This window comes from Homo sapiens, chromosome 10, assembly GCF_000001405.40.
Source record: "Homo sapiens chromosome 10, GRCh38.p14 Primary Assembly".
Lineage (NCBI taxonomy): Eukaryota > Metazoa > Chordata > Mammalia > Primates > Hominidae > Homo > Homo sapiens.
The window spans coordinates 114306981-114332574 of NC_000010.11; the positions used below are offsets into that span (position 1 = coordinate 114306981).

Genomic DNA, 25594 nt, shown 5'->3' on the forward strand with positions numbered 1-25594 from the left:
ACTCAGGAAGGGAACCCAGAGATGGGACAATAATGGCCTTCAGGCCCCTGGAAGGATGACCCCCAATGTGGGACCCGCTTGGGGATCAAGATACCAGGCCCACCCCAAGATATTTCCCAAGAAAGGCTTGTCGCTCCTCCTAACCTCAGTTTCCCTGAGTATGAGCTAAGGCTGTAGAGATGACCTCTAAGAGCCTACCTGCACCCATACCCTCTGCACCAGTACAGGGTTCTCATTGTCCCCTTCATAGTCTCGGTTGTTCCCATTTCAGAGTCATTGCTCCTGTCCACAAGCACCATTCCAGCCCATTCCACTCCTACATGCCCCTCAAGGCTCAGGTCCACAAAGCTATCTCTGACCACAGGGCAAGAAAAGTTCTCTCTGTCCCTGAGTCCTGATAGCTACGAAGATGGCACAGTGCGTGCTTATGGGTATAAAATCATCACCTCCCTCAGGCAGGCTGTGAGCTCTCAGTACTGTGCCTGCCATCCTTCTGCTTGGTCCCCTTTTAGCAAGGTCCCTGCTATATACCCTGTAAATATAGATCAAATGAACATCATTTTTAAAAGAATACTAGGAGGACACCAATCAGTTACCCTTCACTTCCACAAAGGCCCCAACATTGCAGCAAGAGAGAGTTGGATCAGGCATAAAGAACTGCCTGCAGTAACAACAGACGGGAACCTGAGGGCTGCAGGCTCTCCATTCCTAGAGATGTTTACGGAAGACCTAAAACCCCCTGCCTTCGCTGTCTGAGCTCGCCTTCCTGCAGGTTCCAGCCCAGGAAATGAGCCTGTGGTCCCGGAGGTAGCTACAATTCTTACTGGATGTCTCGAGGGACCTCTCCACAGGCTCCAGTGAGGTGGATTTCTTCCTGCCCAGATTCATTAGGTTGCTCAGTTTGAGGCCAGCAGAACATTTCTTCTTGACTGTCAAGATGAGACAGAAAGCAATTCGTATTGCACGTGGTCCACCCACGTGCCCATGAGAGATGGAAAAAATAGCAAACCCATTTCCACTCCATCCACCCATCCCTCCCCGCTACATATGCGCGCACATATGCACGCATACACACACACACATCTCCTCAAACCAGGACCTGCAGGCCACAGTCAGGTGTCTTTAAAGTCACACACTCAAGAGGGGTACACAGACTTCTTATAGAATATGCAACCACTTGAGAATCTTTACACACTGTACTGGCTCAAAGAGATTTGAAATAGGGTTAGCAAACAAGAAGAGATGGAAGAACATTCTATCCCCAGCATTTCATGAAGCTTAACTTCAATTTGGCCGAGTCTCCCTTTTTCCTGGATCTAACAGCAGTATTTCCGAGTGGTTTATTAATAGGGGGCCATGTTAGAATCCGCTGCTAAAACCCATCAGGGTTGAGCCTGACAGCCCAGCCTCACAGCCTGGGACACCATTCCCCTCCCAACCACATGATGTTACCGTCTTTGGTTTCTGGGACCTCAGGGTGGCCATCCACGGAGCTCCCATACTCTGAAGCCGACAGGTACTTCTCAGCTATATCTGGCTATGGACAAAAGCGACATGAATGGGGATCACTGGCTGGGAACAGTTACCTTGGAGACCACAATTGAAGGGAAAATAATAGATGGCTCTTGGTTGTATGCCAGAGGTCAGCTGAGCAAATCCCTGCCGGCCACCTAAACGGCAGAATCCAGGTCACTGGTAGGACATTGGCCCAGCTTCCAAATGGCTGCTCAACCTGATGTGACAGTGACCCTGTAGCCAGTGGGCAGGGCAAGCAGGCTGCTCAGGGGTGGCATTAGAGTCTGCATCCCCTATGATGTTAACTGTCAAGCTAGAAACCACTCATACTGAGAGTGTGAAGAAGTCTTTTGAGAGCTGACTGTTCTAGCAATGTGAGCTGGTTCGTCTGCACAGGAGCAGACCATGTGATTTGAGTCCTGGCCGGAGCATTCTGCTGCCAGGCTGGTGCCCAAGTTAAATGAGCCTCTCTGAGCCTCACTCTGCATGTGTCACATAGGGATGACATCCCAGTCTGCTCACAGGGGTGTTGGGGACTCAAGATGATCCCTAGAAAAGTGTAGCTGCTGCTACTGTTAGAACATGAAACCCTCAGAATATTCCAATCAAGCTGCGTTTAGAGAGTCACCGACTCCATACCTCTGGAAAACAAGCTGACAGTCTCCCAAGCAACAGGACCGGCCTTAGGCAGGGTCCAGGGCCAGCAGTCCCTGGCCAAGGAAGCACTGCATGCCGAGTCTTTGAAGAAAACCCAACTTCTTTCCAACTTTTGTTTTCTTGTCAGTGGCCAAGGAATAAATGAGATAATGAAAAATGGCCCCTCCTGAGTCACTCTGGAATCTGGAAGGACTGTGGGCTATTTCTCCATGTGGGATGACCTGTGCCTTCTGGAGAGTAAGTGGCCTCCTTTCTGCTCGAGCCCTCTGTGTGCCTCTTGTTTTCCTCCCTGCTGGGGTGGGGACCCCAAGAGGAGCCACAGTGATGTTCTGGCTGTTCTATGTGTGCCCACGCTTCAGGACACCTACCTGCAGGTACTCAGGGACAGGAAATGTGACCCCACAGGTGATGATCCTCCTTTTGGCCAGAACCTAATTCAACTTTTTCAGCCTTGACCTTTAAGCCTAAAGCTCCCCGAAAGCACCATGCAAATGAGGACTACAGCCCTTTGGTTGCAATCAGCCTTGAGATAGTGCCCCAAGCCCAGAGGCGCTACTGAGGAATAAGGGGAAAGGAAGTGCCTCATAAAATCAATCTCCCTACTTAAGAATGCAGGCCAAAGTGACTGTTGTTCCAATAAAGCTTCCCCCTGTCTCCCCATTCGCCCACCCCCGGCACCTACAAGCAAGAAAATATTTTAGGTCTGTATCCGTTTCCTCCATTTTCCTGCCAAGCTAGAGTTACTCCTCTTTTCCAAGCAGTGTATGTTTCTTCTTCTCTTTTTTCTTTTTTTGAGATGGAGTCTCCCTCTGTCACCCAGGCTGGAGTGCACTGGCGCTATCTCAGCTCACTGCAACCTCCGCCTCCTGGGTTCAAGTGATTCTCCTGCCTCAGGCTCCCGAGTAGCTGGGATTACAGGCGCCCACCACCACGCCTGGCTATTTTTGTATTTTTAGTAAAGGCACGGTTTCACCATGTTGGCCAGGCTGGTCTCAAATCCCTGACTTCAGGTGATCCACCTGCCTCAGCCTCCCAAAGTGCTTGGCTTACAGGCGTGAGCCCACCCTGCCCGGCCTCAAGCATTGTATGTTTCTTATTAATTGGACTGAAATATAAAAACGAAGCTCCCAATTTTGCACTTTTAATTTTTACAGAGAAAACATGGAAGGGGACTCTCCCTCCAGGCAGGGCAGAGGCTTACTTTCTGGCAGTTAAAGCGCTGGGCATCCGGGGTGTACTGGTTTCCTTCAGATGCTCCTTCGGAAGGCAGGCCGCTCACTTCCTGGATGACCTGAGGCAAGAGGGAAGCCGTCAGCAGAGGCTGAGGTCCTCTGGCCAGCACTCACAGCCAGGCTGAAGCCAGGGCCCCTGCAGGTCAGGGGAGAGTGGGTGGAGGTGAGAGAGAAGATGAATTTCCAAGGAAGAGGACCCACCCGACCCCAGCCCCAAGGCCTGCATGTGGCCTCAGACCCAGCTGGGCAGGCTGCAGTGGGGAGGGCTCGTTGTTTAGCTCCTTTCCGCAGGTCCCACACGTTCATGGGCATGCGAGGGGGGGCCTTGGCAGCAAAGGCCAAAGATGACCAGAGCCACCAGCCCAGGGCTCCGCGAGCCCCTTTCCTGCCACCATTCCAGGCAGGGCTACTGTTCTGTTGCAGGCGTGATCAACAACTGCCTTGCTAGACAGTCCTCTGGCTTTTCAGAGGTCATGCAACTCTCTGTGGAGTCTCCACGCTGCCTGAGGAGCAGGCCTGCAAACTCCCTTGTTCCAACCACCCTCTGGCTCTCCCGACTCGCCTGCCGCCACCCACCCGCCCGCCCGCCTCTGGGAAGGGGCCTCTTCACTGGCTTCATTGACCAGTGGAGGAAGAGGGTCTCTCTGTAAAGGCTGGACACAGAAAGGCTGTGCCTTCTGAAAGCGTTCTTGTCTTTGAAACCCCAAGCAGAGGCTATGGGGCAGGGGGTCTCAGGAAGAGGGCGTGAGACTCTGGGAAGGGAGGCTGGGTCCGGAAAAGGATAGGTGGGTTTGGGCAGTCAGAGGAACAGAGCCTGGGCTGGGGGCAGATGCAGAAAGTCAGCAGTGGCTCTGACTATGAAAGCATTGCCTCAGTCTGAGCCAGGGGCACTCCCTTCTTGCCGGGGGAACTCCCAGGGCGACCAGAAACACACTACCCACCTGGAAGCCCTTTGGAAACGCAGAATTAGTTAGAGTGATTTCATAGATCCCCCTCTTTCAGTCTATGCCTAGAGCAGTTTGTGGAAATGGGTTTCAAATCAGAAGAGCCCAAGAACTCCAGTTCGGGACTGTGGTCCACACTGAATATGCAACCCAGTGTCATAGGAAGAGCACAGGCACTAGGGTTGGCACCTGTGTGACATTGAGCCTGAGCCTCAGCCACTGCATCTGTAAGCTGGGTCAATACCTTTGCCACGAGCCAGCTGTGAGCGCTTGTATGTCAAGCACCCAGCACAGGGCAGGCACATGGATTACCATCCCTATTAGCTTGGGCCAAATACACGGATGGCCCTGCCCAGGGAAAGTGCCACTAAGCCAGGAGTTCAGGAGTGGGGCGGGGGCAGGGTCATGCTTCCTGGGAAAAGCCCTGCCTTGTGCCTTCCTTTACTGGGACCGTCGTCCCATAGTCAGCATCTCCCGTTTACTGTCATATACCTGTCTCACCCTGGGCATGGGTGCGGATATGCAGAATTGGGACACAGAGGTCCAAGGAAGGTAGATGGGCTTCACAAAGCCAATGCAGGTAGGTGGAGAGCCCATCAGACAGGTGGACCAGCCCCCACTGCCAAAGCGCAAGAGTGGGCGGCTTCTGAGAGCAGGCATTTCCAGCCAAGTCCACCTCTGCACTTGTCTGAGCTGGGGGGAAGGGTCTCTCTGTGGAGGCTGGACACAGAAAGTCTGTGCCTGCTGAAAGCGTTCTTGTCTTTGAAACCACCAGCAGAGGCTATGGGGCCAGGGGCCTCAGGAAGAGGGCGTGAGAGTTTGGGGAGGGAGGCTAGGGGCCAGGGAGAAGATCGGTGGATTTGAGCAGTCAGAGGAACAGAGCGGGGAACTGGGGGCAAGAGCAGAGTGTGTGTGTGTGTGTGTGTGTGTGTGTGTGTGTGTGTGTGTGTGTGTACATATACATGCGCAATGCATGCATGAGCAAAAATGTGTATGCAAATGTGCATACATGTGCATTTGTCCGTGTGTGTACAAATGTATACATGAATGTGCATGTGTGCATATATGTGTGCAAATGAGTATGTGTGTGTAGTGGGTGAGGCAGGAGACTGGGGTAAGAAACCAACAGCCCAGAGCTCTGGGTCCTAATCAGCTCTGCAGCCCAGGACAAGCCCCCCATTCCCTCTGGGCCTCAGTGGTCTTATCTGTACTATCCAAGTTTCACGGAGCACTCAGTATATACCAAGCACAGTGCTAAGCACTTTGTGCACATTAAAGGATCCAGCCCCAAATCACTCAGCTAAACAGGGGTGAAGCCAGGATTTGAACTCAGAGCCCTGGCTCTTAAATGCCCAGGGCTGGCCTTTCAGAGCTTGTTAGCTCTCTCAGGAACCCCACCCTACATGGAGATCTGTGAAGCCAAACCACAAACCTGTCTATGCAGTGGCCTTTTTCTACATACCACTGTCTTTCACCACTTGAAGATTTTGCAATAAAGATGGGGATACCTGTCAGCACCTTCTAGAAGCTTGGTTAGGACAGGCCTGGCATTTCCAAAACAATTAGTGGATTTACAAAAACAGCCTGCCTGCTCCAAATCTAGGATACTCAGCCTAGGGGTGGACCAGTGCCTCAGGCGGGTACTGAGGTCCTGTTTTACCACAGCGGTCCAGATCTGTTTCTGACAGGCTCGCCAAGGTGGTTATGTTTAGCTGGGTGGCAGGTGGAGTGGGGTGGGGTGCGGGGTGGATAGAACGCTTCTGGGCTGAAGTGGTTGTGATGGGAGAGGGGGCAGCAGGAAGGAGGGGAGGGGCAGCAGGAAGGAGGGGAAGGGCTGCTCTGGCTCTCACTGGCCTCACCAGGGTCCCTGCTGGGTTTGGAGGTCCCTCTGGAACTGGGGATCCATTCCTGGTGCAAACTTTACATCCGCTGGAAGCATCAAGCCCAGCTTTCACCTGAGGCAAGCAAGCCCCTCCCCAAGTGCCTCATAATCACACCCAGGGACGCGTGGGCAGAGTGGGCCACGTGCATTCGTGGTGGGAGGAGGCACAGCACTGTGTAGACGGGCCTCGGTCTGAGAACCAATGCTGCCACCACTTGGCAGACGACTTTGATCCATCACCTCCATCCTTTGAGCCTTAATCACCACTCCTGTAAAATGGGGACATGAACATTCCCCAGCCATCCCCAGTGTGGTTACGTGGGTTAAAGATGCTAATAGTCCTGGGTCTATGGCAAATACGTGGCAAATGGCAGCGACATGTATTCTTCTTTAATAAGGAGGAGGGGGATGCCTCACTAAAGGCAAAAAGGGAAATGGATTTCAACTGCACCCAAGTCCGGGCTACTGGGGATTCAGAACTGGCAGCAGCACGCTGTAACCCATTTGCAGAAGACAGATCGTTACCACTTAGAACACAGGAAGCCCTGCAAACTTGAAGGATCACAAATCCTCTACCCCTGACCCTATCATCCATCCCTTTAGAAAAGCTGGGGGCCACAACTCTAGGAACCCCTCCAAGTGGCTCGGTGTCGCCCTCACCCTGAGCCACTGCTCAGCCTGGTCCTTGCTCTGCAGGCCCAGCACAATCACATCGGCATTCATCGGCGTGATCTTCAGCTTGTGCTCCTTCTTCCGCACTTGCTTCTCCTTGTGAATGACGCTGCTGCCCAGTAGGTTCACGTCCAGCTGAGGGCTGTGGTCCTTGGAGGATTTGTAGCACTGGAAGGAAAGAGAGAAGATACACCACTTTGCCAGGGGTGCCGGGCGGAGGTGATGTCTGCAAAGGAGGGGCCGCTGGACGTTGCAGGACTCACCAAGAGCCTGACTTAACCCAGCAAGACTAAGAGGCTGGACACCCCGAAGCAGGCCTGGAGCCTTAACCTCAAATATCAGCAACTCCTGTTCTTCACATCAGATTGTCCCTCTCTCCCTCAAGCCTCCTTCTCACTGGCCTCAGCCAAGGATGCTCCAGGATGCTGCCATCCAAATGGCTCAAACTTGCCCCAGGCCTGGAGGGCCTAAAATACGTCCTCTGTGTTCACCGTTCAGTTCTCCAAAGTGGACAGACTTTCACTGTTTCTCCACCTCTCTGTATTGCTTGCTTGGCTTCTGGAGTAAAGGATCCATAAGGCACAAAAACTAAGCCTCTTATCTGCCTAGTTAGGAAGATGATGTATTAACAAAGAAAGGAAGGACTCTTCCCCTACTAGAGAAAATACTTTATCCCTTGGCTTCCCATTTGTAAAATGGGGTTACAGGGTTGCTTAAAAGGATTACTTGAAATAACATTGGCACGGAGCAGGGCCTGTTGTAACCAGGCAAGAAAAGGTGTTTATAATAATTCCGTGGAATTTCAAATCAGGACACGCAACTGGGAATTTTAATTTAAAATAGCAGGAAACAGGACTGTTGTCAGAGTAATGTCTGGTTCCTTGCTGGGTCTGGTCTTGTAATCACTAATTCAAAATATTGTTGCTTCTGAGAAGATACCTAGCATTCTCATGCTGCACAGATAAAAACAGTAGCCAGGGCTGGGCGCAGTGGCTCACGCCTGTAAACCCAGCACTTTGGGAGGCTGAGGCAGGCAGATCACAAAGTCCGGAGTTCGAGACCAGCCTGACCAACATGGTGAAACCCCGTCTCTACTAAAAATACATAAATTAGCCAGGCGTGGTGGCGGGCGCCTGTAATCCCAGCTACTCAGGAGGCTGAGGCAGGAGAATCACTTGAACCCAGGAGGTGGAGCTTGCAGTGAGCCAAGATTGCGCCACTGCACTGCAGCCTGGGCGACAGAGCAAGACTCTGTCTCAAAAACAACAACAAACAAACAAAACAAAACAACAACAAAAAACAGTAGCCAGAATTGGGGCTGGGCTGGAGGAGCCTGACTGGACTCCAGCGGACAGGATGTGAAAAAGGACCAGGGGACAGAAAGATGTATCTGTCTCACAAAGAGGAGGATGGGATGGGGATGGGGGAGGCGGTGGTAGTCACAACCCCCTTTGAGAACTTGATGAAACTACTAGACCTTTCTGGTTCAGAAAAAGTACATTCATCCATACACACAAAATCCTGTATACAATTTCAGATTAGGGAGAAGTTAAAATCTCCTGACATAAACAAGCTCGAAACCTCTGAGGTCAGGGACCATCCTGTCCCTCCTTCCCTGTCCCTGCCCCTTCCCCAAGGAGAGGAGTCGGGGGACAAGACGACGTAAGGCAGACTGACCAGAAGCCTGTTGTCCTTGATGACACAGAGCTGCTTGGCCCACTGTCCCAGCCACTTCTTGCGCCACAGGAAGGCGCAGATGCGGGCGTCACGCATCAGCTCGATGCCGGCCTCCGGCGAGGGCCACTGGTAAGGGGCCGACTTGCCCTTGCTGCCGTCCTCTTCATCGTAGGACTCGTAGGAGCTGCTCACAGCCTCTCCGTCCTCTGCAAGGAAGACCAGCTCGGTCAGGGCCCCATGGGGCAGGGGACAGTCCTGAAGCAGCATCGCTGGGGAGGGCAGCAGGCAGGAGCAGCAGCAGCCAGACCACAGCCCCCGACTCTCCCTGCCCTCAAAGCAGCCCCACAGCCAGCAGCCAGATCCCAGGGCTGGCTTTCCTGCCCCCAAACCCCTCAGCAAGGCTTCTTGGATGCTGCCTGTGGCCACAAAACACAAATAACTGAAAACCAAAGTCTCTCCCTTTTCTTCCTCAAATCCTGTCACTCCCAACTCCACAGAAACCCTGAGAAGACACTGCCCCACAGACCAACTGTTTGCTCTTGACAAGGCCAGTTCTCCTACTCGGGGCCTCTAATTCCTCAAATGAAAGATGAAAGGCGTGGGGTGGGATGTTGCCAGGTTCTCCCAGGCCTGGCCTCTGGCATTCCAAGGGCTCAGGAGGAAGAGAACGCCATCCGTGCTCCACCTGAGCTGTATGTGAGGCAGGCCTCTGATGGCCGCTGGCCTGGCTGGGCCTGGCTCAGTCCTAGATCTGGGGAAGGGGCTGTGGCTCCTCAGAAATAAAAGTCCAAATAAACCACAGCAGGAAACACTTTCTGGGGAAAGGGGCCACCTTCTTACTCCCAAATACCCTCTCCCAGTCATAGCCCTTCTTCAAACCTCCACTCATACCCTCCACAGACACTGCTTGCTCTCCCTCCCTGCCTAATACCTCCTGGCACAAATGTAGCTCCTTTTACTAGTGTCTAACTTAAACCCTTCCTCTTTTGTTTTGAAAGAATCCTAAAACTCATCAGAGCACAAATCATGCACGATTCTACGCATACCCCAACTGCCTCAGTTTCTAGTTTCTGCCCCCACCACCCTGCAAGAGCTATTCTGTTCCCAAGTCCTACTGCTCTATTCAAGGACAAAACAAAAACCATGTGAAGAAAAATCAATCAGTTCATCTGTCCATCGATTGATTGATCTATCTCTCTCTCTATTCATCCATCCATCTATCCCTGAAAAGCAGGACATGGAGGAAAGGGAACCTCAGGATTTCAGTCCAACCCCTGGCACAGGAATCCTGTCTATCATAACCTTGATGCTCTGCCCAAATTTCCCACGGAGGGCTCACTATCTCCTGATCCCTGGATACTCCCATTCCCGGCAGCCCTGTCAGTTAGGAAATGGACTCAGCATCTATTTCCCTGACTTCCGCATGGCAGTCCTTGTTCTGTCCCCTTGAGTCAGGCTGAATGACACTCTGCCTTCATTCCCATGACACCCTTCAGAAGAGGACCAGCCCATAGACCCGTAAGTCTTGGCAGAAGAATCCAGAAGCCCTTTCTCCTATCTGTATAGCTAGATAAAATGTTGTCGATTTTACTAAGAAGCACGTTTGATTTTACTAAGAAGCACATTTGAAACAGAATATAGAAAAATGGGATGAGGCCTCTGCAATAGTTATTCTAGCAACAGTGCCAGTGAAAATGTGTTTTAATATTTCTAAAAACAACATTTTAAACATTTTAGTATCAATTTTCTTTAAAAGCCATGTGACACTACTTCTCTTAATGGCTTAATATAAAAGTGTATAATTTATACCTATTAAATAAGACTGAAAATAGCAGTATTACCCAGGATGGAACCCTGAACTCTTACGTTATAGGTGACAACGTAAATTAACACAGGCTTCTCAGAAAGCAGTCTGGCAGCCTGTTTCAAGAGCCATAAAAAACACCCATACTCTTTGATCCAATAATCCCAGTCCTGGTATTTTATCCTAGGAAACTAGTTTTTTAAAAAGAGAAGGGGCCAGGCGTGGTGGCTCACACCTGTAATTCTGGCATTCTGGGAGGCCAAGGCAGGTGGATCACTTGAGCTCAGGAGTTCAAGACCAGCCTGGGCAGCATGGCAGAACCCCATCTCTAAAAAAAATACAAAAATTAGCTGGGCATGGTGGTATGCACCTGTAGTCCCAGCTACTTGGGAGGCTGAGGTGGGAGGATGGCTTGAGCCCAGGAGGCGAAGGTTACAATGAACTGAGATCGTGCCACTGGCACTCCAGCCTGCGCAACAGAGTGAGACAGTCTCAAAAAAAAGGGCGGGAGTGGGAAAGAATGTTACATGCATTAGGATATTCATTCAAATGCTGTTTAGCAGTCAGCAGAAGGGGACTGGGTAAGTAAAGCATGATTTTACCCACTTAGTCATGTCCATGCAACTGTAATCATTTAAAACTCTGAAAACTAGTGTGCAGCTGGATAAACTCCCTAAGGTATGATAAGGGAGAAAGCACAGTTAGAACTATACATGCAAACAGATCAGCACTGCAAGCAACATAGAAAAAGCTCAAAATAGTTGATTTGATGGGTAGTAGGATCAGGGTGATTTAAAAATGTTTTTCCTTATTGCCAGTATTGCATTATCTGTATAATAAGCGACATTTAAAAAATGATATACTGTCATTGGGATACTTCCTTCAGTAACAAAAATTAATGGAGGAGGCTACAGAGTTTACTGTGAAGAATTTGGGTAAGTCTCCACTGTTCTGTGCTTCTGGGGTTGCCCCACATGTTTCATGAAGAATTCTAACATCTGCCCATCCTCCTCCATGGGGGTATTAGGAAACTAAGAACGGCAAATCATCAACAGGACTAGGTATGAAAGAAAAAACATTGAGAAAAAAAAGAGGCTGGGCATGGTGGCTCACACCTGTAATCCCAGCAATTTGGGAGGCCAAGGCGGGTGGATCACTTGAGGTCAGGAGTTTGAGACCAGCCTGGCCAACATGGTGAAACCCTGTCTTTTCTAAAAATACAAAAAAAAATTAGCCGGGCATGGTGATGGACGCCTATAATCCCAGCTACTCAGGAGGCTGAGGCAGGAGAATCATTTGAACCAGGAAGTGGAGATTGCGGTGAGCTGAGATCGCGCCACTGCACTCCAGCCTGGCGGCAGGGTGAGACTCTGTCTAAAAAAAAGAAAAAAAAAAGAACAACAAATCATACTCCTGGAGTATCTTGGAGGAAATTTAGAGCAAATATATTAATAATTGTTTTTACCCCTAAAAGGGATCACAGCACACCACAAACATTGCATATTCTTGGCCAGGCATGGTGGCTCATGCCTGTAATTCCAGTACTTTGGAAGGCTGAGGAGGGCAGATCACTTGAGGCCAGGAGTTTCAAACCAGTCTGGCCAATATGACAAAACCCCGTTTCTACTAAAGATACAAAAATTAGCCGGTCATGGTGATGCGTGCCTGTAATCCCAGCTACTTGGGAGGCGGAGACAGGAGAATCCCTTGAACCTGGGAGGTGAAGGTTGCAGTGAGCCAAGATCATGCCACTGCACTTCAGCCTGGGTGACAGAGCCAGACTCTGTCCCAAAAACAAAACAAAACAAAAACAGTATGATATTCTTAAAACAGATACTTGGCTTCTAGGAGGGGCAGGGTGAACAGGAATGAGAGGCAGGATGCTGAGATAATGCCATCCCCATCTGCCATCCCTAGGTAGACTCTACCTCACTGTGTCCTGTGGAACTGAGGGCAGAACAGCCATGCACACTGTGGGTCTTTTAGCCATGTGTTTTGATACCACATGGGTGGGGGGTGGGGGCTGTGGAAAGCCAAGTAGGTTGCTCCTCTGGAAGATCGCACGTGGCATGCAAGTGCAAGACTCATGCACGAGGACAGGAAGAAGACAGTGGCCACCCTCGGGACATGCACACATCTTTGAGAGACAGGCAGCAGGCAAGAATCACTGGCATTCCAGCTCGGGGAGTAAGCAGTACCCAAGGTGATCGTGGCATAAATGACTCCTTCGGGCACCTGCACCCATCTGGGGACTCCAGTGGGGAGAAATCCGCCAGAGTGACCTGCATAACATCCAGGAGCACAGACAGAGGGAAGAGAAGAGAGACAGAATGAAGAGAGGAGCACGCCCAAGTGCAGAGACACAAAGAGAGAGACCCAGATGTGGCAACTCGGCTGCCAGTCCACCAGAGGTTAGTGCTTGCCCATCAGAGGTGTAGGCTGTTGGGTGAGGCCACTGCTAAGCCAAGGACATCATTTCCTAGATCCAGACCCCTTCACATCCAGAGATGACCATGTGACTACTTGTCACCAAGGGACTGTGGGCAGAAGTGATGTGCGTGACTTCCGGCTGGTGCTGTTAAGAAGCAGATAGGGGTTCTCTGCTCTCTCTTTGCAGAGGATTTTGCGTCCCTCGAGGGTGGCCGAGACAAACATGGAAGGAGCCCGGGCACCTAATCTACATGAGGATGAGTAATGCCCCACACTGAAATACCCGAGTGAGAAACAGGTTTGCATTGTGTTACTATAAACAGGAGCTGCTGGGTTATTTGTTACAGCTGCTAGCAGTACCCCAGGGTGAGACACCATCAGTGAAGAACCTGGTATCTCTGGCAAGCAGGGCAGACCCCGATATCCCTAGCACAGGCCAGCAGGGCACTTATTACACATGTGCTCAGAGAGAGGGACATGACCCAGGGGAGCGGTGTGGGGATAGGGCTGATAGAGCAGGTCAAGAATCCAAGCAACTGGCCTTTTGCAAGAAGTCAGCAAATCGCTATGGCCGCCAACTATAGCAAGGGGCTGGGGCCCCACGCCTATTCCTCCAGTCACAACCTGCATGTCACACTGTTTGACCAGGCAGGACCTGAGGTCAGGCCAGCTTGTAAGGCAGGTGAAGGCCTCCCTCTGTGCTGACCATGACTGCTTCTCCCCAAGTCATCCCCAGGCCTCTCCTTGGCAGGACAGGCAGGGCTATGTTCCCTCCCACCTCGCAGCTGGTTTTCCTCCATCTTGGAGCTTTCCTGACCCACTCCACACAGTGAGTTCAAGCTGTCCTTGGGATGACCCCTAGTCCCGGCTACGACCAATATGAACTCACAGTTGAGAGACAAAACCAAGAAGCGCTGGCCTTTCTGACCACTTGTTTGTGTCGAGATGGAGTGTCTGACCCACAAACCGGCCCCCTGGTGCGTCTGGCAGGCAGGCCCCTGCTGGCCCGGCCACACCTGGGAGCAGGGAAGTGCTCACTGCGGTGAGTCACTGTTTCCACCTTCAACGCGCATCCAGACAGCAGCACCGCACCCTCGCCTTTGGTCTGAAATCACAGCCCGACTGGTGAGCTGGCACCACCTCGCATGCTCAGTGGGTCAATGCTAAGTGCTGGCTGCCCACAAAGCCAGCGTCTTAGAATAGACTCAGCCTAAACAGGCGCTCACTTCCCACAGAGTTCCCAGCAGGAGGTGGCAGGTAAGTGTGAAGGAAGGGCAGGGGAATCCCATCCCGCTCCCAGTCACCGGTCCCATCTCATCCCTGGTCCTGTTCTTTTTATTTTTATTTCAATAGTTTTTGGGGTTCAGGTGGATGCATTCTTTAATGATGATTTCTGAGATAGTGCACTGTCATTCGAGTGGTGTACACTGTACCGAATATGTAGTCTTTTATCCCTCACCCCCACTCCCAATCTTCCCCCGCTAGTCCCCAAAGTCCATTATATCACTCATGCCTTTGGGTCTTCATTGCTTAGCTCCCACTTATAAGTGAGAACATAAGATATTTGGTTTTTCATCCTGAGTTACTTCACTTAGAATAATGGCCTCTAGCTCCATCCAAGTTTCTGCAAAAAACATTATTTTATACCTTTTTCTGGCTGAGTAGTATTCTGTGGTGTGTATGTACCACATTTTCTTTATCCCCCTCATTGGTTGATGGCACTTAGGTTGGTTCCATCTCATTCCTGGTCCTGCTCTTTATGGAACCAACAACACCTTCCTCAGCCTAGTTCATTCCCAGCCCCAGGGGCCCTAGCCTTTTATATCTGCTGATTGATTTATGCTTTGAAAGCCCTTTCACCTACAAAGGAAGGAAAGAGAAGGAGGACAGAAGGGGAGGACCACAGTCCAGCTGCCACAGAGACGAGGGTCACAACCACTTCTTTCTGAATCTCAAAGCCTTCCTGTGTGATCAAATCCCCACACCAAGAGCACTTTTGATCCAACTTCCTCAGGCTGAGAGCCATCAGCCAAGGACAGAGGGTGTTAGCATGAGCCCTGCCTACAGAGCCGCTCACACAGTGTCCAGGGCGATCTTTTCAATACCTAAGTGATATAGTTTGGCTGTGTCTCCACCCAAATCTCGTCTTGAATTGTAGCTCCCATAATTCTCACGTGTCATGGGAGGGACCTGGTGGGAGGTAATTGAATCATGGGGGTGAGTCTTTCCCATGCTGTTCTCGTGATAGTGAATAAGTCTCACGAGATCTGACGGTTTTATAAAGGGGAGTTTCCCTGTACACGCTCTCTCTTGCTACTGCCATGTAAGACGTCTTTGCTCTTCGTCTTCCACCATGATTGTGAGGCCTCTCCAACCATGTGGAACTGTGAGTCCATTAAACCTCTTTCCTTTATCAGTTACCTAGTCTCGGGCGTGTCTTTATTAGCAGCATGAGCACAGAGTAATACACTAAGTTAGGTCAGTCCCTAAGTAACCCTCTGGAGGTTTGCAGTCTTTCCTCATTCAGAACTAGGCCAAAGTCATTCCTGTGGCTGGCAGCCCCATCTGCGTCCCCACCTCCTTTCATTCTCCCCTGCTCCTGCCATGCTGGCCTCCTTGTTGTTCCTCAGACACACCCAGAGCTCTCCTGCCTTGACGCTTTTGCAGATACCATGTTCTCTGTCTGGAAAGTTCTTCCTGAATGTATCTGCCTGACTCACTCTCCACTTCATTCAGGAATCTGTTTAAGTCATGCTATCAGAGAAGCCTTCCCTATCTAAAGTAACTCCCCTGTCCTGCAGAAGCCCAGCTCCTGTTCTGTTTTCCATCCTCTCACTTATCACCACCGACACATGCTGTTTATTTGTTGTCTGTTTTCTCTCACGGAATGTCAGTGCTGGGATGACTGGGCTCCTGTCCCTGACACAGCGGGAGCACCATAACTATGAGTCCAGTGAAAGAACATGGAAACTGAGCTCAGACTCAGCCTGACCGCCACTTCCATTGCTGACCAGGGCCTTGGGCCTGTTGGCCAACACTCCTCTCTTCTGTCACCTTTGTGCTGAAATCTCACAACTTGCAGGCAGGAACCACAGAAAACATCAGATGCAGTCAATCTATTTGTTGTGTACCATCCCTCATTCCTCCTTGCAGGACAGCTAGGTCTGCTGTGGGTCTTGGCTCCCCATTCACACTAAAGGCTGAATGCTCTGTGGCCAGTTCTCAATTTGGACCATGCTTTCCTGTCACAGCAGCCCAGACTACCCTCTGTCACCCAGCCCAGGATGAGTGTATCTGTTACCCCCAGGTAAGTCTGCACCAACATCTGTGCAGGAAGCAGTAAGTCACCCTCCCAAGCCCCAGCCGCTGGGATGTACCATTGAGGGATGTGTCATATGGCTCAGCCTCTTCATAGTAGCCCTCTGGAGACTCCGTCTTTGGGATGGCAAGCTGTTTCCGTTCTGGAATCTGTGGTATGAACAAATAAGACAAACGTTTGCAGATATGGTACACTGGGAGCAACTTGGAAATAACTCTTCGGGTGGAAGTCTAGAAGACAAAAATGCCCAGCTGGACTTTAAACTTTAAGCAAGTTGGGAGGGAGAACATGCAGTATCATGAATCCCATCAGTCACAGTCCATAGTGTTTGGTCTGTAGCCACGGAAGGGCTGTGGGCACGTTGTTTAACCTTGCCAAGACTCAGCTTTCTCCCCTGCAAAATGAGGCTCAAGCCCCCTACCACACACACAAAATATCATTATGTACATGATATATCATGCACTTAGCAGTCCAGAGAGTGCCCGGCTGTTGGGATAGCTATTGTGGCTTTTAAATAGAATATATTTTCTAAAAAGACAAGTGCTAATCAATAGCACAGGGAGAAAGAGGACCAGGTTTCTAAATCCTACACTTTTACCATAATATAGTTCAATCACTCATTCAGCAAATATTGGATGACTTCCATGTACTAGCTGAGAGGGACACATCGAAATTTCAGGAGTCAGTCCTAAGAAAAGCTTGAGTAGCTGGTAGATTTTTAACAGCTCCTGGTCAAGTGCATTGTGATATAGTAGTGCTATAATGGACAAGGTCAAAGTTCTGTGAGAACCACAGGAGGGTGTGAGGAATATTTAGGACAAAGGAAGGATGCCCAGGGTATGTGATCTTTGCGCCGAGCCTCAAAGATGACCCTGAGCTTATGTGGGATGAGGTTGAACGTGTGCAATTTGAGAATAAAAAACACCTGCAACTGTGTCAGAAGCACAGAACGTGAAATCATTGTGTTCCTCCCTTATTCCACCTGCATAGTAGGCACTAGACTATGAAGCTATGCTTCAATAAGCTACCTTTATAAACAACCATGGGGGAGAAAAAGAGGTAATTTGTTGCATTACTATTATGACAGACAGGTCGTGAATGTGTAAGCACCCTTGAACATGGGTCTCCAGTGTCTTTTGTTTTGTTTTTCTGACAGAGTCTCATTCTGTCACCCAGGCTGGAGTGCAATGGTGCAATCTCGGCTCACTGCAACCTCTTCCTCCCAGGTTCAAGCAATTCTCTTGCTACAGTTTCCCGAGTAGTTGGGATTACAGGGGTGCACCACCCCCCCCCCCCCCCCGGCTAATTTTTGTATTTTTAGCAGAGATGGGGTTTCATCATGTTGGCCAGGCTGGTCTCAAACTCCTGACCTCAACTGACTGCCCGCCTTGGCCTCCCAAATTGTTGGGATTACAGGCGCAAGCCACCATGCCCGTGGTGTCTTTCTGAATCATGAAACTCCATGGGAATATGCATAATGAGTTCACAACAGAAGTGGCAGAGCTCGAAATGTATTCCCTCCCACTCTTGATTTTGAGAAGTCCTTGTGCTGCGCCCTCCGCGTGAGAGGGAAGGCCTGGGCCTTCAAGGAGGCTCCACGTGAAAGCACAGGCAGGCTGTGAGGTGGGGGAGGTTGTAGGGGGAGATGATGGAAGCAGCAGCCAATGGAAGGACGCTGCAGTGCCCTGAGCTCAGGTGGACCCCTGTGCTTTGGGGGAGAGGGTAATGCTAGGAATCCAGAAACTCCTGCCATGAAAAATGGATTTGGGGGACCCAGGATGGAGGTAGCTCCCCTACTCCTGGCCCAGGAGACAGTGGGAGGACAGGCAGCCTGTGCTTAGCCCCTGTGGGACAGTCCTCAGCCTGGGCTGCAAGAGTATCCCTTCCAGCTTCCCCAGGGTGAGGATACCAGGGTCCCCAGAGCCCAGTCCTGTGTGGTTTGGACTCTACAGTCTGTTTATATAGACCCTGGAGTTCATGTAACTTGATTTCAATCCGGGCTTCAGGACCTCATAGATTTAACCTTGGGTATGTGACAGCCTCTCTGAGCCTTGCTTTCCTTCTTTATAAAATAATAATACTAGGGTTGTTTTGAAAATTCAATGAGACAAAACGTGATAGTGTTTCCACAGGGCCTGGCCCATATTAAATACAAGGAGGCCATTGTTATCACTGTCTGGGGCCCCTCCACAGTCCCAGGGTCTGCAGGTTGCGCAGTGAGGGCAGTTAATGTGACAGGCAGTTAATGTGTTGTCCTGAAAGCTGAGACGAAGAGGATCGACCCTGTCGGGGCATCGCAGAGGGTTGGCTGAGGCCAGGCCACAGCCTGGGTCCAGCACCAGATCTGGTCCTGTACCAACAGAGCTGATATGAGGCACAGGGCAGGCTCAGAACAGCCTTCAGCCCTCCTCTGGCATGTGGCACCCCCTACAAAGAAAGGAATCAAAGAATTTGGTCACTTCATAAGCAAACCCGACACTGTACTGGGCTGACAGACGCACTGCTGAAGGGAGCCAGGTTGCACACCTCTGCCCAGGCTCCTGCCTGGCAGCCAGGCCCTAGCAGACAATGAGCGTGCCATTGGTAACTTCTAGTGTATGGTCCTCCCTCTTTGCCAGCCCCAGCCTGGTACAAGATCTTTGCTCTCTCAGCCTTTCCTGGTCCCCCTGGTCAGCCAGCAGCCTGAGAAAAGGCTGAGACAGTGACAGACTTGCCTGTGGTCCACTAACAACAGGCTCCCTAGGGTCCACAGGGAAAGGGTCCTCTCGCCTCTGTGGCAGTAAGGTCTCCCCAGTGGGTCCCAGGGCTCATCAGCCTGATCTGGCTGGGCCTCCAGCTCCAGCCTCCAAGAAACTCCGTTCCCGTCAGGTGGGTCCCATCTGGAGAAAAGCTCTGGGCACCCGAGATCTGGCCCAAGGTCAGGATTCTCTAGAGTCGAACAGGACAAAGGGAGGAGTGAACCCTTCTGCAGGAGCTCCCCATGGGTCATCATCACCACAGGGTCTGTCCCTGGGGGCCTCCTGTCCTGTCTAGGGTGGAGCCAGGCAGTGTTTTGTGAGTGTCTCCTAAGCTTCTGTTGAGAAGAAAAATAGCTCAGAGAAGTTTGAGCTACGCGAGGTGTGCAAAATGTATCAAGCCCAGGAGTATGGGGCTTCAGGCACCGTTTTCTCCCCTCCCCATTCCTGGGGGCAACTGTTTAAAGGCATTTTACTCCTCACTAGCTGCCTCATCCATTGTCTTCAGGTTCCTGTAATTTATGATACAAAGAACAATGTTTAGCTGATCGATAGCTTACAGTATTTTAATATAAAATATTGGTAAACAACTTAAAAACTGCCTCTTCTTTTTCCTTTGAAAACCCACTTGTAACTGCTGCCAATAGGAACATGGATTCAGGGTAACTTGAATCTGTGCTCTTGGGCTGCAGCCCTGAAATTTTGGTCAGAATAAACTCTCTACTTATATTTATTTTGTCTCCGTTTTTTGCCTGTAGGTTGACACTGCAAAATCTGAAAATGGCTCACTATGCAGAGACAGTGCAGGGCAGGAGTGGAGTCCGATCTCCAGAACCAGGCTTGAATTCTGACACTGGGACATCCTTGCTATGTGACTCCGACCAATTCACTTGACCTCTCTGGACTTGGCATAAGAAGGGGAGAATAGAAATATCTGTCACATGGGGTTGCTGTAAGGATTGAAGTGTGCCTATCACTATTCAATATTCAATACATATTAGTTTTTACTAATCTAAAAAATAAAATGTAAAAATAAGAAAGGGAGAAAAGTTTTGCGTATATGTGTTTGGTGGAGGATAAACTAGTGTACTCTGGGGGTGGGTACAGAGGAGACCATAGGGTGGAGTCCCAGCTCTCAAGAATGCTGGGTTAAATGATGAGTCACATGATTAAACAGACACAGTGACCTATTATCAGAGCTTCAAGGAGACAGATCCTCATCTCACAGGGTTAAGGAGAAAGGACTATTATTTTGATTATTATCATTATGATGGTGAAGACCGTGAATTTTATATATATTTATATATATATATATATATATATATATTTTTTTTTTAGGCAGAGTCTCACTGTGTTGCCCAGGCTGGAGTATAGTGGTGTGATCTCAGTTCACTGCAACTTTCAGCTCCCAGGTTCAAGTGATTCTCCTGCCTCAGCCTCCCGAGTAGCTGCGTACCACCACGCTTGGCTAATTTTTGTATTTTTAATAGAGACGTGGTTTTCGCCATGTTGGCCAGGCTGGTCTCAAACTCCTGACCTCAGGTGATCTGCCTGCCTCAGCCTCTCAAAGTGCTGGGATTACAGGAAGACTGTGAATATTAAATGAAGATCCAGAAGAGATTTAACATCAAAACCTGAAAAACTTTGACTGTTTGGAGGAAGGGACTGCGTGAGCGAGTCAGGCTTGGCAGGATTGACCAGACCAGAGGTCCAGAGGGCCGCAAATCTTTTCAGGAAAGGGCCAAAAAGTAAATATTTTAGGGACTTGTGGCCACTCGGGACCTCTGTCTTATCTCAGCTATTCAACTCTATTGCTTGCTGTAGCTCAGAAGTCCACAGACTAATACAACTAAATAAGGCTGGCTGTGTTCTAATAAAACACTATTTACTAAAGGATGTTACAGATCAGATTTGGCCAGTGAGCTACAGTTTGCCAACACCTGGCTTAGACTAGACACAAGAGCTGATGAGGGGTGGCTCAGAGGACCCGAGGCATCCTCACAGCTCTAACCATCCTGCCCCAGAGTATGCTGCAGAAGGCTCCCAGGTGGGGGTGAGTGGACAGGCCAGGCCCAGCCTCCGAGGCTAGCCACGGCAATGTCCTTTTAGGGATTAAGTGGTTTCCCCCACAGAGAAGCTCATGTAAGAGCAGGCCAGCGCATGGCCAGGCCTCAGAGGGACGATGGGGTGGAGATGGCCATGCTAGCCAGACCATCAACCATGGCCAACAAACATCTGTTTCTCCTGCAAGGACCACGGCACCTGGCTGTGCAGACAGCAGCCTGGAGAGGCCACAGCTGCCTGAGTCACTGTCCACACCCACGAGGTTGCTCCAAACCCCTGGCTGCCCCTTCTATTGCTGGACAGACCTGCTCTCTACTGAGTCTGTAGGGGTTGGAGTGAGGACATCTGGGCTCGTGGCCGATAAGCATCCCGAGCCTGTGACCGAGGCATGATCCTGGCCCAGCCATAGGCCCTGAGGACCCCAGGTGGATGTCCACGTGCTGCTGCAGGTGCTGCTGCAGGTGCCGGTGAGCCCAGGGCCAGGCAGCTGTGCAGGGCCCAGCCCTCAGGTGGACAAACCTCCCTGAAGTTCTGGGATCAAGGGAGGAAGGGCGGGTTTTCTGTCTGAGGAAGAGACGCCACAGGGCACTCCAGGCTCAGGGTTCCAGCCTGAGCTGGACAGTGACTCAGGCAGCTGTGGCCTCTCCAGGCTGCTGTCTACACAGCCAGGTGCTGTGGTCCTTGCGAGAGAAACAGATGTTTGTTGGCCACGGTTGATGGTCTGGCTAGCATGGCCATGGGGTTCCAGCGGCCATGGCCTCTCCCTGCTCTGGTTCTCCTCCTCCTTCAGAGCCACAGACATGACTCCACCCTGACGCTGCTCCTCTGGGGGCCTTGGACTAAGAGTGATGGCTGCTTCAGCCTGATTCAACAAGAGAGGAGGCCTGAGGGAGTGAGGACATGTGCTCATGTGTGTGGGCAAGGACAGGGAGAGTGCCCGGTGAACACCACCTACATCCCCACACCACATCTGGAACACCCTGGGGTAGAGGTGGGTGCCTTGCACAAGACCAGGTGGGACCTAGCCAGGGGACTCGCAGTCCACACCCGTCTCTGGTCCTTCACAGCAGAGAAAGTCCACAAAGTGGGAGGGAGCTGCCTTTTCCTGTCAAGTCAGCTGGCTTTGCTAGAAGTCTCCCTGGGGCCTGGAAGCTGTCCACAGGCAGTTACCACTTGGCTGAAAGGCCTCCTTGGGATCGTGCCATTCCTGGGTGCTGATATTTTCCCCAACTGCCGCACCAGTTCCTTTCAAACAGGGACACAAGCCCTAGTCACAGACGACAATCCAGGAAGTCTACTTCAGAGGGGGCCACGCTCCCCTCCCCACACTCAGTGTCTGAGGCACAGGGCACTGGCTGAGGAACAGAAGCCAGCATTGGAATCCCAGGGCCCGCAGGGACTCTCCGTGGCCCAATTAACTTACAGCTGTAGCCAGGTCCCAGACCCTGGGCCCCTCAGTCCATGCTGTGCTTGTAAAACACAATTTCTAGAACACTCACACAGTACGCGGTGCTCATGAAACTCTGCCCCTACCCACCAGGTGGGGACCCACCAGCAGCTGCCCCTGGTGGGGCAGAAGATGGCACTTCCACTAGCAAAGCCCAAGATACCTTGGTCAGAATCAGACGCTGGATTTAGGATAGAAAAGTTCCAGCCGTGGCTCAGAACAGCCACCTTTCCACTCCCACCACCCAGCAAGCAATGCCTGGGCCATACCAGAAAACCTCTGGTTAAAGCCATCAGCCAATGGATGGGACAGCAGAGGGGCTGTGCTCTTCCCCCAGGTATCAGGGCTGAAAGTGAGGGGAGCCTGGCACTGGAGGGAGCATAGCTTAAGCCTTTGCTCTGTTACAGAGAGAAGCAAATGTCAGGGAGGCCCAGGCTGGGGGAGGAATTGGGAACAACAACAACAAAAACCTGCATTTAAATCCTGGCCTAGTACTTCCCAACTGTGGGACCGTGGCCAGTGGTTTTTAACTCTGAGTCTGTTTCCTCATATGAAAAACAGTGACAAAAATACCCATCCCTCGATGGGTGGTGGGCGGATGGTGTGTGTGCATGGTATGGGGTTGAGGCTCAGGGTGTAGCAGTCGCTGGCATTGTCAGCATCACAGGGACACCAGGGACTCAGGTTCAGTCCCGACATCAAGCCTCACTCAGCCTGAGATGAGGAGTCTCCACCAGCTGTCACCCAGCTCAAGGGACGGCATGCAATGGGACACTGTCCCAGGTTCTCCAGAACTGCCCACCCACCCCACATGGTAGAGTCAGATCCTCAGCTGTGGCCCCTTCCCCCCAGGAAGGCACGAATGAAGGGGCCAGTCCAGAGCCATTCTGGGGCTGGGACCCCCTCCACGGAAACATGAGCCCACAGATCAGGTGACGGTCAGTTGGCAGGAGCTTAGCTTCCTGCTGGCGCTGACCCAAGACCCCCTGGCTACCCACATAAACCCTCCTAAGCTGAGACCCCAGTCCTGCCCCAGGATCCCTCCCCAGCCATGCCCTACAGAGGAAAGAACCTGGGTTCAAATGCTGACTCTGTCACTTACAGGCTGTGTGACATTAGGTTTCCTCACCCTTAAAATATAAACACTACCACTTACCTCACTGAATACTAGCACAGTATGCCACACACAGTGGTGGGGGGGCTGCCATCCTTAGCCCATTAAATAAGCCCATCTGACGAGACAGATGTGAGCATTTCTTCCATATAAACCAGGAAATAGAGGATTAGAGACTTTAACTTGCTCAAGTTCAAAGAGCTAGTGGCATGCAGAACTGGGATTTGAACCCACATCCATATGATTTTACAACTCCATCCACATTAATGGATATTTAGGTATGGCCTACATCTGTCCATGTCTGCAGATACTGGACACAAAATAGTAAACGAGAGACAAGGTCCTTGTCCTCAGGAGCTGACATCAGGAGAGGAGACAGTAAACAAGACTTCCAGTAGCAGGTGCCATGGAGTGGGTAACTGGGTGGTGGGTAGATAGCAACCCAGGTGCAGATGGGGGAGGGATGCCTTACTTAGCCAGGTCAGCAGGAGTCTCTCTCAAGAACTCTGGAGAGATGAGAAATTGGTAGAGGCCCAGGAGGTACAAAGTCTCTAAAGCAGGCCTGACCACAGTGACAGAATCCAGGGGCAGAAAGGAGGCCAGTGAAGACCCTGGATGAGGAGGCAGGACATGCAGCTGAGCCAGATCATAGGCCCTGAGGCCATGCTAAGGAACGGGATTTTTTTTTTTCTATGTTTAATAAGAACTACTGGTAAGGTTCAAGCAGGTAGTACAGTGTGATATGTTTTATGAATTTTTACTTTTCCTTTAAACTCCAGAACAATGTAGGGGAATTAAATTATTTATTTATTCACTTATTTTATATGTTAGAGATGGGGTCTTGCTATGTTGCTCAGGTTGGCCTGTAGTGGCTATTCACAAGTGTGATCACAGTACACTACAGCATCAAATTCCTAGCCTCAAGCAAGCCTCCTGCCTCAGCCTCCTGAGTAGCTGGGAATACAGGTATGCACCACTGCACCTGGCTAGTGCAAATTTTTTAAAGGTCACTGTGGTCTAGGCTGGTGACCACAGCTGTTCATGGCCCTGTTCACATGGTGCTGGATAAAGAGCCTGAGTAGCGTCAGGTGGCACTCAATCAAATGTCCCCAGACCCATCACCCTCAGCATCCGGAGTACTGTGGCCCCAAGCAAATCACCTGTAGGCAGGTTTACTTTTGCTCTGTCCCTACACGTGCCTTGTCCCAGTCCCTGAACACAGTAGCTGCTCAGAAAATGCCAGACACTTAGTGAGCTGACACCTGTGGAGACAACTGGAAGTTCAAGGGGCTCACGTCAGGGAAATCAGGGGTCCTGAACTGATGCTTACCATCTTGGGTGGCGGGAGGTCTGGAAGGCTCTTCTGAGGGGCCGAGGAGTGCTGGCTGGGCTCCCCATTGGGTAGCAGGCCCTGCTCCTCAGGCGCTGCGGGCAGCAAAAGGAAAAGGCTTCGGTGAGGGGTGACCAGCCTTACACAGGGTCTCCTTCCTCAGGAATGCCCGGTCACATGCACCCTGTGAGTTCTTTTTGAGCAGGTGTTAATTACCCAGGCAGGCGGTCCCTGGAACCGAAGTTGTTTTTCCTCCCTGCAGTAATAGGGTGCAGGAGTGCCCCAGACATGTGCCTGGGGTTTCTGGCAGCCTCTGTACCTGCTCCCCTACCCATCCCATGTCAAAAAAAATGGTCTAGCCACAGAGCTTTGGCCAGCAGAGAAGCTGCCTGGTGGCCACTATATTGAGCCACTCTCAGCATGGACCCTGTGATTATGGCTCTTTCCTCCCACAGTTTACCCAGAAGGCAAGTGACCCCCGCCAGAGTGGCCAACCTCATCTGGATGAGCTCTGCCATGTCCCAGGCTTGGTGAGGGGCAGGAAGTGAAGGAGCCACACTGGGGAAGTGAGGCCACCAACCCTCGGTGCACTTGGAAGGAAAGGTGCCGAAGACACTTCTGAGCCTGTCCATTTCAGCCAGCCCTGGGACAGACAGGCTCAGGCAGGCCCGATATCGGGGATTTGGTGGCTGATGTCTCAAAGACAAGCCTTCAACAGGACTGAGTGCTTTGCCATGCTGTGTTCCCACCCCTCTCTAAGCCTTTGTGGTTA

General features: G+C 51.1%; 1 protein-coding gene and 1 long non-coding RNA gene across 56 annotated transcripts in view, besides 4 other annotated features; one reads left to right on the forward strand and one right to left on the reverse strand.

Annotated features, from left to right (window-relative positions):
• Nucleotides 1-25594, reverse strand: part of AFAP1L2 (actin filament associated protein 1 like 2) — a 124451-nt gene that overhangs the window by 26256 nt on the left and 72601 nt on the right. For 26 of the 55 annotated variants that reach the window (XM_047425856.1, XM_047425854.1, XM_047425855.1 and 23 more), the window contains 8 exons: nucleotides 24823-24917; nucleotides 16191-16281; nucleotides 12582-12665; nucleotides 8580-8785; nucleotides 6891-7070; nucleotides 3374-3463; nucleotides 1453-1537; nucleotides 825-929 (listed from right to left, as the gene is read on the reverse strand). In XM_047425856.1, the coding sequence (XP_047281812.1) occupies nucleotides 825-929; nucleotides 1453-1537; nucleotides 3374-3463; nucleotides 6891-7070; nucleotides 8580-8785; nucleotides 12582-12665; nucleotides 16191-16281; nucleotides 24823-24917 (936 nt within the window). Of the gene's footprint in view, nucleotides 1-824; nucleotides 930-1452; nucleotides 1538-3373; nucleotides 3464-6890; nucleotides 7071-8579; nucleotides 8786-12581; nucleotides 12666-16190; nucleotides 16282-18901; nucleotides 19061-24822; nucleotides 24918-25594 lie in introns of those variants that run through there. The other 29 variants (XM_047425858.1, XM_047425857.1, XM_047425873.1 and 26 more) reach the window with 4 other exon arrangements.
• Nucleotides 13042-14241: an enhancer, noted in NCBI's record as "P300/CBP strongly-dependent group 1 enhancer chr10:116079781-116080980 (GRCh37/hg19 assembly coordinates)". NCBI's record gives its function as "activates an origin of replication core promoter dependent on BRD2, BRD4, P300/CBP, MED14 and CDK7 cofactors, with strong dependence on P300/CBP, by STARR-seq in HCT116 cells {active_cell/tissue: HCT116}" and the evidence as "EXISTENCE:reporter gene assay evidence [ECO:0000049][PMID:35650434]".
• Nucleotides 13042-14353: a biological region, named in NCBI's record as "P300/CBP strongly-dependent group 1 enhancer GRCh37_chr10:116079781-116080980".
• Nucleotides 13652-14353: an enhancer, noted in NCBI's record as "H3K27ac-H3K4me1 hESC enhancer chr10:116080391-116081092 (GRCh37/hg19 assembly coordinates)". NCBI's record gives its function as "activates a minimal SCP1, AML or CMV promoter by ChIP-STARR-seq in primed H9 embryonic stem cells {active_cell/tissue: H9 hESC(primed)}" and the evidence as "EXISTENCE:reporter gene assay evidence [ECO:0000049][PMID:30033119]".
• LOC105378494 (uncharacterized) lies at nucleotides 14026-19911 on the forward strand. Its single transcript, XR_946334.3, has 3 exons — nucleotides 14026-14070; nucleotides 15967-16120; nucleotides 19626-19911. It is a non-coding gene; the product is annotated as an uncharacterized LOC105378494 (long non-coding RNA).
• Nucleotides 21460-22105: an enhancer, noted in NCBI's record as "H3K27ac-H3K4me1 hESC enhancer chr10:116088199-116088844 (GRCh37/hg19 assembly coordinates)". NCBI's record gives its function as "activates a minimal SCP1, AML or CMV promoter by ChIP-STARR-seq in naive H9 embryonic stem cells {active_cell/tissue: H9 hESC(naive)}" and the evidence as "EXISTENCE:reporter gene assay evidence [ECO:0000049][PMID:30033119]".